The sequence below is a fragment of the Homo sapiens genome, chromosome 7 (genome assembly GCF_000001405.40).
Source record: "Homo sapiens chromosome 7, GRCh38.p14 Primary Assembly".
Classification (NCBI taxonomy): Eukaryota; Metazoa; Chordata; class Mammalia; order Primates; family Hominidae; genus Homo; species Homo sapiens.
Window position 1 is genome coordinate 122,018,209 of NC_000007.14, and position 19,030 is coordinate 122,037,238.

The 19,030-nt window shown below is 32.8% G+C and overlaps 1 protein-coding gene across 5 annotated transcripts in view; it reads left to right on the forward strand.

Annotated features, from left to right (window-relative positions):
• Positions 1-19,030, forward strand: part of PTPRZ1 (protein tyrosine phosphatase receptor type Z1) — a 188,876-nt gene that overhangs the window by 145,048 nt on the left and 24,798 nt on the right. For 3 of the 5 annotated variants that reach the window (NM_001369396.1, NM_002851.3, NM_001206838.2), the window contains 6 exons: positions 916-1,060; positions 10,344-10,435; positions 13,266-13,351; positions 15,887-15,907; positions 16,074-16,170; positions 18,392-18,474. In NM_001369396.1, coding sequence (NP_001356325.1) covers positions 916-1,060; positions 10,344-10,435; positions 13,266-13,351; positions 15,887-15,907; positions 16,074-16,170; positions 18,392-18,474 — 524 coding nt within the window. The remainder of the gene's footprint in view (positions 1-915; positions 1,061-10,343; positions 10,436-13,265; positions 13,352-15,886; positions 15,908-16,073; positions 16,171-18,391; positions 18,475-19,030) is intronic. The other 2 variants (NM_001369395.1, NM_001206839.2) reach the window with 1 other exon arrangement.

The following is a 19,030-nucleotide window of genomic DNA, read 5'->3' on the forward strand; positions in this document are numbered from 1 at the left end:
GTTCTCATGCTCAGTCATCTTGGTTTCCCACTGAACACACCTCAAAGCAAAGAGGAAGGATTGTTATTGGCCACAAACACTCACTGTTCTGAAACTCTTTTTTTAACAACTTGGAAGGTAATCTCTAGTTAAAGTGATTTTCAAAGTGCTAGTACAGTAATGTACCTGACTGGCCCCCAAAATAATCATGTGTCATCTTTTAAAATTAACTCAAGGACCAAATTCGGATTTTTAATTATTTACACTTGCATATTTCAGAAGAATTTCTTAGATCTACATATTCCTCCAATTCACCTGAAATTGCATTTTTTTTTTTTTGTAGAATAAAACAATGGGTAAGAAGAACATTCAAAATAACATTTAAAACCAATCTATATTTAAAATTGAAATCGATTACTGGATTGAAAGGTTATCCTAATATAAGAAGAGTTATCCCAAGATTTTTTTCTTCATGAAATTATTAATTGCTTCTAACTATTTACCTAATGCAGGGTTAAAAATAATCCTATTTAAATTTATTTTAGAAAATTAATATATATGGTGATTCAGTAAGTAGCGCTGTTTTTCCTGACCATTCTATTTTAAATCAGTAGTGATTTTTAAATTACACTACTTTGATTTTTCTTATTTAGCAAGGCTTTTCAAGGCAATATTATGCTTACCTGTTGCCAAGGCACCCCTATCTGGGTGCCAATCTCTGCTGGGATGTTGTAGTTCTTCTTGTCTAATAGCCTGCCTTACATTTTAAACTTTGTTTTAATTAAATTGGCTTATAATTGTAGACATTCTTTGCATCAAAGAGTCAAAATTTTAAAGGTAAGTAACAGCAATGAAGGTTGCAATTAATCAGTTGAAAAATGCTGTGACTTTTCCTTCACCTTAAATATCAATTCTCTCAATTTTCTCTGACTACAGAGGCCAGTAATAGTAGCCATGAGTCTCGTATTGGTCTAGCTGAGGGGTTGGAATCCGAGAAGAAGGCAGTTATACCCCTTGTGATCGTGTCAGCCCTGACTTTTATCTGTCTAGTGGTTCTTGTGGGTATTCTCATCTACTGGAGGTAAGTTGAGTATTTGTTTTGGAAAATTTAATTCATAAAACTCAGATTTTGCCCATATTTCATCTGAAAGGTCTTCAAAGCATATTCAAAATGTATTTTACCTGAGAGCTGCCATTAATTTATTCAAGGTAAATTTGTGAATCCAAAGGCACAATAATGAAGGAGTTAATTGTTCTTCATACATCAATTAAAGATAAAATGGAGAAACTTTTACCCGTTACTATTTAACACAGTATTTTGACAGTTGTACTTTCATGTTAATCTAATTAATAGATATCATCATAGCATTTAACATAAGTCTAAGCTTCTCGTTAGTTGTTATAATTCCAAAAATTAAGAAAACATTTTTTATATAATAACAAGTATTGTTTTTCAATGACAGAAGAGTTTGTACAAGATGTGTATTAACTGCACATACTGATAAAAATGATAACCTGTGCATAAAAGTAAAATCAAGCAATTAAACTATAAATATAATTAGAGACTACAGCTAATGACTATCTTAAGATGCACAGGCATTTAAGATACATATAATTTGCTTTGGGGATGAAATATAGCTTCGCTGTCAATAATCTATTAAGTCCCTAAAGACAAGAATAATTGTACCCATCATAAAATTTCCATCCTGTGGAAAGCAGAACACACAGCAAATTAGTGTATTTATGAGGAACATAGGTCAGTATAACTGTGTCTGTTAGAAAACAAAGGCTTTATGATGATATAAGGAATCATATGTGTAAACCAAGAAAGGGCATAGCATAGTACTTTTATAAAGTATAGCATACTTTTATTTTAAAAAAGAATTTTGTTCAGAAGATACATAATTTTTTTGTTTAGCAACATCATTCTGTAACTTTGTATCAGCACTCTTTATGTGTTCTCTCAAAATATATTCTCGTGTTTTTTTCTGAAATATTTACCATTGTTATTGATTGTTTCCCACATACCTAGTACTGTGTTAACCATCAGGAAATATCAAAAATGAACAAATGAATGAAAAAAGAGTCAGTGATTTGAAGAAATATATGCTTATTGAGGGGGAAGAATTTGTTATAAAAATGTATAAAATATTACACAAAAGTGTATGCGTAGCAGTTGAAATCTAGTGCTAAAAGTAGTCAGAGAACAAAGAAGCTTGGTAGGCCAGAATGCTCAGGGCAAGTGTAAACTAAAATGTAGGACTCAAGCTCTGTGGGAGTCAGAAAGGAAAGGAAAAGGGCATTCCAGGCAGGGACACAGCAGGTGCAAAGATCGGGAAGTAGAAATGAGCTGTCTTTTGAGTAAAAGCTATTGGATGTTTCGGACACAGTGAGGTCTGGAGCATGTATTAATAGTTGCATGTAGTTGGACATTGGTTGGCTAGGGTAGAATGTCTTCATGATCAACTGTATTTCATATCTGACTTCCTTTACTAGAACAGAGTAGACTGCACACTATGGAGAACAGATCATGCTTTTGTTACCCCACATGGGTCAGGAGTCTATTTTGTTATAATAAGAAACAAACAAACCTGGTTTCTTTAGTCTGTATCCCGGTGATTCCAATAATTGCCAAAGATTCTTTTTTTTTTTTGCTAAAGGGTTCATGCTTAGCAGAGTGCTTTGAACCTAATCCATAATCCATAAATGTGTGTTCAACAAAAATAAATATTGCTTTTCTCCCCGTTCCCCACTGAACTTGTTGACCAAATTTTTTACCACATTGATATGTGTATTCAGATTACAGGTTTCTATCTAATCTGATTTTCCCTACCAAACTACCTTTTTAATTAATGGGAGTCAGTGTTAAGAATTGAAAATAAGATGGAGAATATGACCAATTCTGCTTCATAGTAAATAGTGCTAGTACAAAGTTCCAATAAAGATGTCAGATGGTTTATAATTATAAGATTGAAATTCGTTTCTTAATCTGTGTTACTTTTCAAGTATATTTTCTGAAAATTTGGAAATCAGTATCTTATTTAATACAATTTGATATTTCATGGAAAATTAAAATTTAGAGAGGTTTCTATCTTCTATTAATAATGTGTCATTTCATCTGCATTATATGGGGAAAAGATAAAATTACCAGTCAAAAATATATTAATTTGACCTTCAATAAGATATTTCTTTTTTCTTCACAAATAACACTTTAGGTACCTTGAATGCAGAGTGTCATAGTGTAAAATATATATGAGTATTTTGGCCAGGCACAGTGGCTCACACCTGTAATCCCAGCAATTTGCAAAGGTGAAGTAAGTAGATCACTTGAGGCCGTGAGTTTGAGACCAGCCCAGGAAACATAGTGAGACCTCCATCTCTACAAAAACAATAAAAATAAACAATTTAGCTGGGCATGGTAGGGCATGTCATACTCCCAGCTTCCCAGGAGGCTGAGGCTGGAGGATCACTTGAGCCCAGGAGTCAAGGTTACAGTGAGCTGTGATTATGCCACTGCACTCCAGCCTGGGCGACAAAGTAAGACACTGTCTCAAAAAAAAAATCACTTTGATGGTTTTATGTATATGTTTTATATCTATTAAATGTTCTGATAAAAATTGTCAATCTTTACTTATTTTGAAATGTTAAGTAGTGTTAGATATCTGACCTACTAACATCTGTTTGAAGTTAATTCACTAAAAAATATAAATTTTCATATCATCATATGCTAGGGGTATTATGTGCTGAATCACAAGATGATAGTTTTAGTTAATTCTTCAAGGTTTATGTGAATTATTCAAATTCCAGTGAAGCTACATTTGTAAACAATATGATTTCACTAGCCAATATATAAACATTTTAGACCTTTGTAAAAGCTACAGCTTGAGAAAAGGTTTAAAAATCTAATGTCGTACCAATAACAGTCCTAATGGTAATGAAGTCCTTAAGAATTTTTCCAAGTTTATATATTTAAACTTTTTTAAACAGCTTAATTAGGTAATATTGAAATATCATAAAACTCACCTTTTTAAAGTGTATGATTCAATGGTTTTTAAAGTGTTCTACTATTTCCATAATGACTAATGATGTTAAGTGTTTTTTCATGTGCTTGTTGGACAGTTGTATATCTTTTTTTGATAAATGTGTATTCAAATCCTTTGCTGCCTATTTTTTAATTGGGTTATTTGTCTTTCTATTATTGAGTTGTGGTTTTGTTTGTTTGTTTTGTTTTAAGGAGCAGAGAGTTTAATAGGTAAGAAAGATGGGAGAAGGCAGAAGGAAGAAGCTCCCCGTACAGAGACAGAGGGAGGGGGCCTCCAAAGCTGAAAGAGGAGAACCTGAGTTGTGTGTTTTTATATATTCTAGATACAAGTCCCTTATCAGATATCTGATTTGCAATTATTTTTTCCCATTCTGTGAGTTATCTTCTCACTTTCATGATGGTATCTTTTTTAAAGTAGAAAAGTTTTTAATTTTGATGAGGCCAAATTCATCTATTTTTTCTCTTATTGCTTGCACCTTCAGTATCATATCTAAGAAGGCATTGCCTAACCCAGCACCACATGGATTTACTCCTAGATTTTTGTCTAAGAATTTAACAAAATTAAAGGACTCATGCTTCCCAGTTGCAAAACTTTAATTGAAAGCTACAGGAATCAAGAGAGTCTGGTACTGCCATAAGAATAGACATATAGATCAATGGAATCGAACTGAGAACCCAGAAATCTTATGTTTACGATCAGTGGATTTTAGACAAGGATCCAAAGACTTTTCAATGGGCAAAGAATAGTCCTTCCAACAGATGGTGCTAGGACAATTGAATATTCACATACAAAAAGTCAAATTAAACCTTTTTCTAACACTATACACAAAAATGAACTCATAGGGACCATAGACATCAGTGTAAGAACTATAAAATTCTTAGAAGAAAATATTTAAGTATGTTTCTAACCTATTTTAATGAGAAATTAATCTCAAAGTTTTATAATAAATCTGCTATTTCACCTAATTTACCTAACTCAAGATATTCCCCTTATTTTTTGTATAAACTTTCAGAGGAAGCAGATTTTAGCCAAAAGACAGAACAAATTCAAAGTGAGAAAATCCAGATCTCTTTCCTAGTTCTGCCCGGCATTTGCTATATGGCCTTGGGCATGTCAATTACCCACCTAGGACTTGGTTTCTCCTGTTTACCATTTGGGTAGGTTCACTAGATCATCTTTAAGATTGTAGCCAGCGAGGCATGGTGGCTCATGCCTGTAATCCCAAAACTTTGGGATTTATATATATATATAATTTTATATATAATTATATATATGTATAATTTTATATATAATTATATATATATAATTTTATATATAATTATATATATTATATGTATAATTTTATATATAATTATATATATTATATGTATAATTTTATATATAATTATATATATTATATGTATAATTTTATATATAATTATATATATTATATGTATAATTTTATATATAATTTTATATATTATATGTATAATTTTATATATAATTATATATATTATATGTATAATTTTATATATAATTATATATATAATGTATAATTTTATATATAATATATATTATATGTATAATTTTATATATAATTATATATTATATGTATAATTTTATATATAATTATATATATATAAAAAAAAAAAAGATTGTAGCCAGACCCAGGAATAGAATAATACACATTTCTAGGTTTTCATTATAAATACTGTGATGAAAAGGCGTAAACCAAATAATCAGATTACCATTGATTGATAGGACCTATGTCTACAAGTTTAAGACAGTCATCACTTTTTTCATCATGCCTGATGGATAATTAGCAGGTGACGTAGTTATCAACACTTAGCACATAGACGTGAAGACATTCACTGCTTATACTGAACAGATGGACTACAGATACTGAATCTTGTCATACATTAAATAATATGCCTTGAAATCATTTTCCAGATGTTTTATGGTATAATTTACATGGGCCATACCATAAGTTTCTAAGATGCAAAAATGACTTCAACAGGGAAGATTTTCAAAAGTTTTTTTTTTTTTAAGGCAAATTTTTGAAAGCTTTTTTAAGAGTTGGAACCTAAAAAGTACCAAAGGTATACCCAACCAAATGGCACACTATCAAAAGCAATATAGAAAAGGACTTCACATAAACACAATTGTTTTGGCTGGGGGTAGGGAGATGAAAAGCAATATGAATTCTCTCTTGATCTTAAACTTGAATTTGTGGATCATTGAAGATGTCTACTAACCCAGAATGGAGGTCTTCTGGTACCAGATTGCCTTTTAAGTGTAGTGTCACTTGCTATATAAAACTGCACTACAAAGTATACCTAACCAATATGCAAATGACCTTCATCCATAATTTAGCCTATACTATTTTAATTTTTTTTTTTTACTTACAAGCTTTTTGGTATTATTTATAAGGTCTTTTAGGGAAATTAATGCCAAATAGGGTTATTGGGCTACTTATTTTCTAGAACCAACAAAGATTTGATTACAGATTTGTTTATTTGTTTGTGACAAGAGTAGAATTGGTGTTTACCCACACTACTGTGAACACTAGCAACATATTCAACCTCAATGCCAACATGTTTTAATTTACCATTTTATATTCTATGAGATGCTGCCTTCTTCCCATTCAGTCATAGTTATTGGTACATCCTCTATCGATCCATCTGCCCATCCAGCCACCCATTCGTCCATCCTTCTCTACCTATATATCTTATCTCTCCTTCCAAAATGTTTTGAGATTTCAAGTTATCCCAATTGAGGCTAAGGTAGGTAAGGGAATCCAGGATGCAGCTGAACAACATATGATTGGTGGGATTTACTTGCTATTAGAAATCCATCTAATCATTCAACAAATATTGAACACCTATTCTACTCCTGGCACAGTATTAAGAGTTGGGTTTACATAAAATCAAGAGATACGGCCCCATCTTTTAAAAATGTAATAAAGATATAAGCACAAAACAAATATAATACAAAACAATTACACTAACCACCAATTAAGAAAAATACTTAAAATAAATAATGTAGAATAATGTCCAGGAAATGAAGATTACTCTTAGATTGATTAGGTGTATTTTTCAAAACAGTCTTTTCTTTTTTTTTCTTTTTTTTTTTTTTTTGAGACAGAGTTTCACTGCTGTTGCCCAGGCTGGAGTGCAATGGTGCGATCTCAGCTCACCGCAACCTCCACCTCCCTGGTTCAAGCAATTCTTCTGCCTCAGCCTCTTGAGTAGCTTGGATTACAGGCATGTGCCACCATGCCCGGCTAATTTTTTGTATTTTTAGTAGAGACAGGGTTTCTCCATGTTGGTCAGACTGGTCTTGAACTCCCGACCTCTGGTGATCTGCCTGCCTAGGCCTCCCAAAGTGCTGGGATTACAGGCATGAGCCACCACGCCCAGCCAAAACAGTCTTTATGTAGGCTTTTGTGAATAGAAATTTGGGTTAGGTGCAGTGGAAAAGGAGAAGCTGTGGTGCTAAAGGCTGATTAGGAAATGAAAGGCCATTTCACAGAGAAGATACCTCTGAGCTGTCTTGAAAGAAGGCAGTGTTTGTCTGGCATATTGGCCAGTGAGATATTTTGGTTAGAAGTAGAGGAATGTTTAAAGCAGAATAGATAAATACTGAGTCAGGAGAGAAAAGGCAGGTTTATTTATCTACAATGTGATTATATTGTTAGAGTATAAACTTCAATAAGAAAAGTCTAACAGGGTGTGGACCACAGACAGGTAGGGTTTAAGTATTGAAAAGCCTTGGATATTATAATCTAAATATCTGTAAAATATATAACTAGAATATATGGGCAAAAGTAAAAGGGGGATAGATATGAACCCGTTAGAGCTGTTAACAGTGGATCAAGAAGACCTATTCTTTGAGTACCATTTGTAAATACTTAGAAGGGAATGAGTTTTGAGTTAGTAGAAGAAAAAATAAAATCTAGGAAATAAGGAGGATTCAAAAGGAGTGATCTCCTTCTCACTGAAGGTATTCAAACTGGACCTTCTTAACCATAGGTTAGAGATGCTGTTGAAGGGATTCTTGTATCAGCTGTGATACTGCACTAGCTTTTTAAAGGCATTTTACAACGTTAAGATTCGTTGAAATATTTTTTAAAACATTTCACCAGCTTGTATAACTGTATTTTGGAGAAATCAAAGGGATTTTAATTCTGTGACCTTAAAAGCATGTATCAAGTCCAGTGTTTCCATATCAATATGTCAGAATATGCTCCATTCATAGTTGCACAGATAAGCCAAACTTTCTGTATAGTTTCTGCCACAATCTGGTTTCATTTCTGCTCATGTGGGCCTTCTGTAGGATAGTTTCTGTGGCCCTCATGTCTCTCATTCCTCATCAGTCTACCATACTCTCCATTTTCCAGGATATTAACCTAGTTAGGAGGGTCCCTTTGACACTTGTTTCTGTATCCACTCACCTTTCTCTTATTCGACCTGCTCTCTCTTGAAGATATTTCTGTGTTCTCTCAATATATCTTCTCTCAGGTGTGATTATCAAAGGCTTATACTACCACAGTAGATGACTAATTTTGCTATGTACGTCATTGCTTTAAGTTTTTTGTTTATTTGCTTGTGACATCAAGGTTATAAGTAAACTATATAATTTTACACCACTCCTACTTATAGAAGTTCATTCATCAGAGAAATGCTTCGGGGTTACCTCCAACATGACACACATGCTCCCGAGCACTAAAGACTAACACTGCAATGATTGAGACAAAGTAGTTTGCCTTGTGGGGCTTATATTCTGATAAGAAGAGACCAATTATAAACATATAAAACAAATAAAAACATAATAGTATTTCAAATAGTGATGTGCCACAGAGCAAACAAAAAGGCAAAGAGTAGTGACTTAGTGAGATAGCCTGACACTTAGCTGTCATGATCAGGGGAAAACTCAGAGGGAGCGGCATTTGGGCCAATGCAAAAGTGATGGGAAGGAGGCAGGAAGCCAGGGGGAATGGCAAGAGTCAAGGCCCTGAAAAGCTACTGACAGGGCTTCTTCAGAGGTGAAGGAGAGGACCAGTGTGGGCTGGATCCTGGTGGGTGAGGGAGAGAGTTGCAGGAAAGGAAGCTACTGAAGTAGGTTGGGGGCCAGGTCAGGGATTAAAAAGGTCTTAAAGCCCTTGCTAACATAACTGAATGTAATTCTAATTGCAGCGAGAAGCCATTCAAGAATTTTATCTAAAGGAACTAATTTACTAGAAAAAAATAAAGATTTAGGTGTGTCACTATATAAGAACAAATGTTACATTAAAACTCATTAGGATAAATGCCTTGTAGCTTGAAGGTTTAGATGGAAAGTGAGATTGTCGTTTTCAGTCAAACAGAATTCAAGTGTTTCAATTTAACCACTCATGAATATTGCTCCAAATAAATTAAATGACCTACATCAAAGAGTGTCATTAGCAGTTTTAATTATTCAATTTTTAAAATTAAAGATGGTTGGCTTTACTTTATAGCAGTAGTTGGTTCTTTGCTCTTGTCGATAGTTTGTGGTGTGCTCTTACCAGATGCTACTCTTATTATCCGAATGAAAATAGATTCAGGTGATATTGTAGATCATAGTTGTCACTGAATCTGAATATATTCATTCTCGAAACCCTCATCAACAAGACTAGCATCTGTTGGGAAGAAAATCGCCCCTATTTTTGGTTGTATGCTCATTATTTTCTCATTTAAGTTCTGTCACTCCTGCATTATTACAGCATGAAGCCACTTTCTTTTTTCATCAAAATGTTACCACGGTGTAGTTTCATTTCTACGTAGTTCATAGTTCATTTCTATGTACTATGGACTGTGTAGGTAATTTCTACATAGTTCATTTCTACATAGCTTGCTGCTTTTTGCTAGCAGCTGTATATGCTAAGAAGAACATGGTCATTTGAGTGAATGTTGAGTGAAAATGGCTTTGGACATTATTTCTTTTCTTCTCTGGCTCTATCCAAGATGGCAGGACATTTTGGGTATTATAGCCACAGTGGAAGAATATGTAGGGCATTGAGGTTTCCTATATTAACAAAGTATCACTTTGAACCCAGCTACAACTTCAAATTCTGTCTGTGCTTTTAGCATGCCTGATATCTACTTGCTCTTCTGCATCTGCTACAGGTAAAACTGAGATAAATTTTATAATTTAACATCTTGTGACTTGTTAAAATGGATGTAGATCCAGCAATCCCTCTTCTGGGTATATACCTGCTTTTGTTTTAATTCTGGAGATTTCTATCAAAATTTTCAAGCAGCTCAGAAATTGTCTTATTTTCCATAGCAACTAGTAGTATAAATTGTGTTCTTTTATTTCCAGGAAATGCTTCCAGACTGCACACTTTTACTTAGAGGACAGTACATCCCCTAGAGTTATATCCACACCTCCAACACCTATCTTTCCAATTTCAGGTAATGGCTTAAAGTGTGACCATGAGTAGCTGGTAGATGTTGAACAAAAAGCACAATGTTGAAAGGTTTGTTTTTATCGGGACACTATGCAAATTGCTATAATGTAGATTAGTAAATTTTTGTGTTGCCCCAAATATTTATTACATTATGTTCCAGGTACTCAGGTTTATATTCTGTCCTCATTAATTTTAAACGTTCTTAATCATACAGATGATATTGCAAAAATAGTTTATAATTGTTCAGGTGTATTATGTTAAAAACATAAACATTTATAGCAATAAAATATTAGTTAAGAATAATGGTGACTTTTACTTATTCCTATTATGTTAATGGAAACCCAAGCAACAAAAGTCAGATTAAGTCAATGCAGAAAATGTGGATGGGAAAAAAATGACAAAAATAAGGATAAAGTCTTGTTCCTTTCTGATTACTTGAGTTTATGTGAGAAAAGGGTTTTTTTTTTTTAACCTACATTAGAAGAAAAGATCTATAAAATTGTGGTGGTAATAGCAGGAAAAGCCATGAACACAAACAATATATGGTTGCTTGAAATAATCTCTCAAAATGTTGAACAGTTGAATATTTGGGAAGACTTTAGCTATTTTTATCATAATTTATCTGAATAACAGTATTCAAAGGTAGCCAGGGTCATTTTGATAGAGACATCCATTAATCCTAGAGTTTACACTATAAGTAAAATCATAACCACTCATTTTTAATATAAATTCAAGGGGTGCATGTGCAGGTTTGCTACATGGACATGTTGCATATTCAAGCCACTTATTTAATTAACATTTTATAACATCTTGGATTGAAAAGTGGCAACAAAAAATAGTGGTCTAGAATTGTGTGATCTGGGAAATAGAGGACAATAAAAGGAAAGAGAAGTTAAGAAAGTAGGGATACAAAAGGAGAAAGTCATCTATGGGATCATTTCACAGATGGCACTTTTTAAATTCTCTGACTGATGCTCCATATTCCATTGCTAGAGGCTCAAGTTCTACAGGATGTTATCTTCTGAAATCTCATGACTTAAAAAACAGAAAAAAAGTCAAACATTTTATTTATATTTTACATTTATATGTTGATGTTTGTTATATGTTTATGTCATATGTTATATATATTATTTATATATATTTAACTATGATATTTTCTTTTTGTGCCTTATAAACTTAGGAATTGTGTTTGCTATTTTTCCTCTTTTGTCAAGTCTGTGTCTTTAAGCACCACTGTTTTATTTGTTTTTCTAGTTTACATTAAAATACTATTATTTTAGTACCACAGTGTCTCATTGCCATATTCAGAATTTTTAGACCAACAGCTCTCAGTTATCTGTTACATTTTGATTCCCTTCACTTCCAAACATGTCTCTTCTGCATACCCCATCAGCATGGGTATGCAGATTAACTAAAATTTTATCCAAAGTCCAACATGGTTTATTTTTAACAAATAAAATAATACAAAATCAGACCTAGTCCAGGAGATCCAAACTCCCCTGTTTTGAGTGTCAAAAGAGTGGTGATTCAAGGGCATCTCCTTATTTCACTTGTTCAGTTCTCAAAGATTCCCTCTTGATCACCTGAATATGCATGTTTTCGTGTAAAAATCAGAAAGCAAAATGAATGTTAGTCTCACTTACTTGCAGACCAATTAATAAAAGAAATTACCAAAATACCTGACTGTCAATAAAAGGTACTAGTCTACTTATGAAAGGAGGTTGGCTGTGCAGGATAACATCAAGGGGTTTGAAGGACATTTACTAGGACTAATGACTTACATGTGACAAATCATTTCTGTTTTCTTATCTAATTATAAAAGCTTCTAAGCAAGATCCTTCTATAAGTGTGAAGGTAGAATTACACCTTTGTCTAGTGTTTCTTAAGCTTGACTGACTAATTCAATTTTAGTATTCAGATCCACTCATCTAAGAGAGAGAACAGATGGATTCCAGTTTTTTTTTATCAGCAAATTCTTGGTAACTGAAGCTTTAAAATATTAGATGGCCTAAATGCTGAACATCTGTTGCTATAAATAACTGTTTCTAGTGAAATGTGTTTGATGTTTCCTTGTCAGAGAAATCACTTGTAAAATTGCATACTGTGAACTAGTAATATATTCAGTCTAAGAAAGTCTTTCCAGGAAAAGAAAAAAAAATCAGAACCAGTTAAAATAATTTGGCCCCTTCACAATTAATTAACAGATCCAATGACTTTGTTTACATAGCATATTTTCAAGTTAGAATTCTTGAAATTTTACAGATTAAAAGTCCCAAAGGCTTTTGACATTATCCTTAATGAAATTCTCCATATAAATGTTTTCTATTATTTACAGAGAGAAGGAAAAAATGTTTTCAAATGTAAACATCTATTTGACTGTAAGACATTAAATTGTACAGTTTTACAAAACCGAAATTACACTATTTATTATGCTTGGTCCACACTAAAATTGAAACTATATTATTTCTACATTTTTTCTCAGAATTTACATGCAACATCCAGGCATGTTAAAGAAAGTTGTCCATCAAAAGATGCAGTCCACTGATAAGGAGTGGGGCTATGGTGGTATTTATAAATTAACATTGAAAATAAGTGATTTTATCTTTAGGTATAGATGGAAAAGAGATTGCTGAACAAATCAGATTTCTGAAATACAGGTTTTGATTGATAATAAATGTAGAGAAAATTGGTAATTGTTGCTTAACAATTGAATGCTGAGATTTAGTTAGAATTATACAAATAATTGAAGTTGTTTCAGAAGCTACTTTATAAGTGATAGGTACGTTTATTTCTGTTAAATTATGCTCTCTAACACAATTTTTTTATTCACGTAGATGATGTCGGAGCAATTCCAATAAAGCACTTTCCAAAGCATGTTGCAGATTTACATGCAAGTAGTGGGTTTACTGAAGAATTTGAGGTATGATTTTAATATGTCTATTTTAAATAATATAGAAAATAGTAAAATTTAAAAGATTCAGCAATAGGCTATTTCTTGACCTAAAGACAGTGCAACCATTTGCACTTCTAGTAAAAATATGAGTTCCATAATTACATATGTGTTTAGGAGATGTGTTATAGTTACTATATAATTTAGACAATTGGTTTTCTATTTTAAAAGCCAAGTTGTACTGGTGGAAACATAAAAAACATTGTTCATTTTCTTCCATAAAGTACAAATCTTTAATATTCTTTTTTAAAATCTGAATTAATAACAATGATTCTTTTTAATTTTCTAAATTCTATAAATTATACTAAACTACTAAATTTCATGATTTCCAGCCAAATTACATAAAAATTCTTAACTGTGATTTGTACACCAGTGTTAATGCAAAAGCATTTAGATAACACTTACATTATACCAGGTAAAAATGTATCTTCTTTTCAAGAAAATATGCATTTCTAAAAAAAATTTGAACTTCAAAATCAGTAAGTTTTTTCCAATGATATTCTGTTAAAATACTCTTAGACAGAAGGGCAGAGAAATTTACTGCAAATTTATCATGGCCCACTGAACTATCAGCTAAGTAGATTTTTCAAAATAGAGAGCTGTAAGCACAAAGGTAACAATAAAAACCACAAAAAATAAAAGCTACCCTTTGTGAACACCTTCTTACATGTCAGTGGACTACATGCTTTCACATTCAACTTTCACCCATCTCTGGGAATTACTTGTTATTATTTCTATTCATATTATTGATGAAATCAAACTTCATAGAATTTAATTAACAACTGATAAATAACAGAGTTCCATTCAAACCTAAGTCTGTGATTTAAAAACTCATGTCCTTTCCACTGTAGCTGTAAGCAGGAAGGCTGTCTTCAGCCTCCCCGCTGGCCATTCCCCACTAGAGAGCTTCATATTGCATTTTTGCTTCTCTCTCCCCTAACCCCAGTGGCTCTGCGGACCTCCCTCTTTGAAGTACTTTGAGCTGTAAGCCTAATCACAAAATCCACTCTCTCCTGATTTTCTTTCCCCACTGCACCCAGCAGTTGCTTCCCAGGACTCACACCCATCATTATTTATTTAGGGAGGCAAAATGTTATAGATTAGAAAGCTTTAAGAAATCAAAAGAAAGAGAGGTATGATATGTTTTTACTAATTTAAAAATAATAGAAGCCAATTTATTTAATTCTAAAAGAAATCTAAATCATAGCTACATTGAATAAGAAAGCAGTGTGAGGCAGTACTAAGTAGGGTGGAATAATATAAATAATTACATGTCTAAAACATCAAATTATTTTTTATTATTTTGACAGGCTAGAGGTTACGCATGCTATAGTGTTAACTCAATGTTAATTTTAGTGTTAACTGATAGAAATTATCAGGCTAACATCTAACAAAATAAGAAAAAATAGACAATTTATAATATAAATTACTGACAACATATACAAATTCATGGTTTTCATAACTATAAAATCATTTTGAATATTATTAAGCAGTCCAAAATAATTAAATTAATAAAATAACTTCATGTTTTCACTTTTAAAGTTTTTTCTTAATTCTATCTCTTTTAACTCACTGCCTGATTCAAGAAAATTTTACATTAACTGAATAATTAGCTTAGTAACTAATAGCGTTATACCTTTTAAGTGGTTCTTACATCAAATTGCTTTTAATTGTTCAGAATGACTTGCTGCAAAAGAAGCCTTAAAAGGTTATGTGGAGGGAGATTGGGCCATTTGCTGATGAATCAGATTTTTATTTTGGTTATCTACTTTCTCAGAAATTATAAGGCTTTTATTTTATTATATAATACTAAATAATTATAAATTCTAAACAGATAGAAAATATTTCTGAAAGCATATTAACTCATTTTTAATAAAAAAATGGGCAGAAATAAATTTTCTTTACTTACTGAAGTTTAAACAAAAAGAGGTCTGCTAATTAAATATTTAGAGTGTTATGCTATCTAAATTTTGTTTCAAAATGATGTAATGTGTATGATTTTTAAAATTTTTAGGAAATGATTAATGTTTTGATAGCCTTAAATCTGTTACAAACCACCTAATAGGAAGCTGTTTACTTTTTAAAGTAACCCCCCAAAAAATAAAAACAAAAAAGCACATCACTAATTCAGAGTTTCAAATAGTGCTACTATGGTCAAATAAAATAAAATTTGGATATTAGCCAATCTGACTAATATGACAAAATGTATCATGGAATATGTGGTTCCTCTCATCTGCATTTTTAAAATCATCATATTATGACATCACTATCTCCTTTTAAAAGTGTTATGTTTTCTTTTACATAATTTTAAAGTTCCAAATTATTAGACATTTTGATTTGCATGCAACTGTTTGAAACATTCTGTTGTGTTAGTATTTGACAAATGTATTTATTGCATGATCATAGTTTTCCATTGTAAACCTAATATGAACGCTTTTTTTTCTCATTTGTCGTGTGCTGTGGAATTTGATTTCTTTACTTTTTTGGCATTCATTCCCTCATTAGACACTGAAAGAGTTTTACCAGGTAAGGCATTATTTCACTGCATTTTCTTTTAGCCAAGAAGTAGTTGTAACTTTTAAAAAATTTCATTTGATAGATTATTTTGTTTGTTTTGTCTTCGTTATTATATTTTAAGGCACGTTGTTTGAAAGAATGTGTGTTAAAATGATTTACATATAATTTTTTACAGGAAGTGCAGAGCTGTACTGTTGACTTAGGTATTACAGCAGACAGCTCCAACCACCCAGACAACAAGCACAAGAATCGATACATAAATATCGTTGCCTGTAAGTATATTCTTAAATCAGCTCTGACTTCAATATCATTGCCATTTTGGTGCCTTTTAAAAGTGTCCTGAAGTCATCTGAGAGCTGACCTTAGTGTGGCTGTTTGGGGCCTTTTTATCAGGGAATAATAAGACTTGTGTTAGATAATATGTAGCATTATATCACTCTGACTTAAATACCTTCTGCAATTAATAACATCTGTTTTATTTAAACAAAACAAACTTAGAATTTTAATCCAATTCTTTCTTTTGTTCTTTCTTTCATAGACTGTTCATCTCCCTTGGTGGTTTTTGTCATTATTTATATGACTTGGTCCTATTTTCACCTAGGATTTGCTTACTCTTATGTGAATTTACCAACCGAATTACATTTTCTTTAAACTTTCTCTTTTTTCTTCTACCTTTACCTGTTTCCTCCCTTTCTTGGCATTCTTCCTGGGGTCTTATAAAGAATTAGTTGGATTCTTTCTTTTAATTCTTTCTTTCTCTTTGTTTTCTTAGCCTTTCTCTCTCCCTTTCTCCTCAATGAGCAGCTATCTGGCTTTTTTCATTAGTGCAATTTTACGTAATATTTCTCTATGAAATTATTGTCTTTCTTCTGTCTTCTTATAGCACTTCTGGTTGCATTTGTTCCCTCTTATTTTTGTTTATATTCCCCTTCATCTCCTAAAATTCATCTTCGTGCTCCCTCCCCACTCCAAAAACAAACAAACAAACAAATAAACATTCTACTTATACCCTTTCTATATATTCAGTGGTGTGGCCCTTCCTGGCTTCATAGGACCATGGTATTACCAACGAGGTTATTTAAATTCTGGTTTCATTCTAGTTCTGAAAGCCAATGGAGCTGCACTCTTCTCCCTGTTACTATCATGATCTCTTATATAGTTTGTATAGATGTTGCCATTCTTTCCACAGAGTTTACACTAATTTTTATTTTTTAGTAGAGGGCTTTATGTTTGTCTTCCTGAACTGCGTCTATCCTGGCTACACATAAAACTCACTTGCTTCTTGAGATAAAATTATTAGACTTTCCTCTACAAGCTAAATAGAACATACGCATCAGGTAATTAAGAAGGAGACAGAGATTAACATTTGATGAACACCTACCTACTATGTGGCTGGCACTGTAAATAAGTTATTTCATTTAATCCCTGAAACAACCAGGCAAGATAGGAAATTGTCCAATTTTAGAGATAAAGAAAAACAATCCAGAAATTCTAAAACTATTAAAACCAAACTACAAAAATAGGTCACCCTGACATTGAGACCCATCTGTCAGTTGCCATACTTCCATTTGCACATACATTCCTGTATCAGTGTGACCTGTTACCATCACAGAAGTATTCATATCCCAGAGTATCTCTTTAACTTGTTTTGGTTTGGTCTGTATTCACTTCTTCATCCTTGAAAAGAATAATCTTCTCAGTGAAACTGCCATGTTTCCTTCAAGTAATACTTTATTTCTCATATGTATTTTCTCCAAATAAATAGTTTTTCTGTAGAACTGAATTTAATCTCAAACTCCTGTAATCATACTTTGAATTACCATAGTTATACCTTATATCATTTACCAGATTTTGCATCCATCCTGTTTTCACTGGCAGTGTGCTATCTACCTCCTCTGTGCTTGAGCAGCTGTTCTCCTGCCTCCTTTTGAAGCAGTTTCTCTTTGAGGCTCCTCCTGAAAGAGCTGTTTGCTGTAACCATTCACAGAAACTTCCTAGGGAACCTTTGGCTTTCTTCTCTATCTCTTCTTCCTTCATCAGCCTCCTGTTCATCCTTACCTAGCTTTGTGAGCCTCCCCACCCATCACATTTTTATCTCTTCGAGAAGCTCTCCACTGTTCACAGCCCTTGTAACCAACCTTAAAATTCCATTTAAAAGACCAACTTCAGATGTCAACCTCTATAGAAACTTTTATCTCAAACTAAAACAATTTCTGTTTTCATATCCCTCCACTACATTGCACCTCTCACTTGACACCTGTGTATATACCCTAGTTTCACCTATTACCTTAGAAATGTTCCTGAGGGTGGAGATTCTTTTTATATTTGTCTTTGTTTTCTTTGCTGTCTCTGTATCCCCAAAAAGCCTATGAAAGTAAATGATTGCTTGTGTTGATTTTAATTGAATGAAATAAATTATTATGCAAATATGAATTATCTTTGTGCTGAAAAGTAGTCTGTGCTACAATGAAATATATTCTCTTTATATTACAGATGATCATAGCAGGGTTAAGCTAGCACAGCTTGCTGAAAAGGATGGCAAACTGACTGATTATATCAATGCCAATTATGTTGATGTAAGCATGTTTTAATTGAAAATTTTATAGAAATCATATTAGACTGAATTATTATACCATAATGCCATACATGCATACATATACTAGTGCTTAATGTCATGTTATTCGATAGAGAATAAAAATGGTAAAGTAACAGTAAATAATTTTTAAGAGAGCCTATGACTAAAAATTTTCATATTAAATGACATTCAAGCTATTTTACTTGGTTTATCTCCTGAGTGAGGAAAGGAATTCATGATGGGAGTGTACCTTCAGGGTGGAATAGGTAGATTCAGATAGGTTTCTAACTCTTTAGATGTGAAGGGCAGGGCTGGGCGCGGTGGCTCACGCCTGTAATCCCAGAACTTTGGGAGGCTGAGGCAGGCGGATCACGAGGTCAGAAGATCGAGACCATCCTAGCTAACACGGTGAAACCCCATCTCTACTAAAAATACAAAAAAAAATTAGCTGGGCGTTGTGGCGGGCGCCTGTAGTCCCAGCTACTCGGGAGGCTGAGGCAGGAGAATGGCGTGAACCCGGGAGGCAGAGTTTGCAGTGAGCCGAGATCGCACTTCTG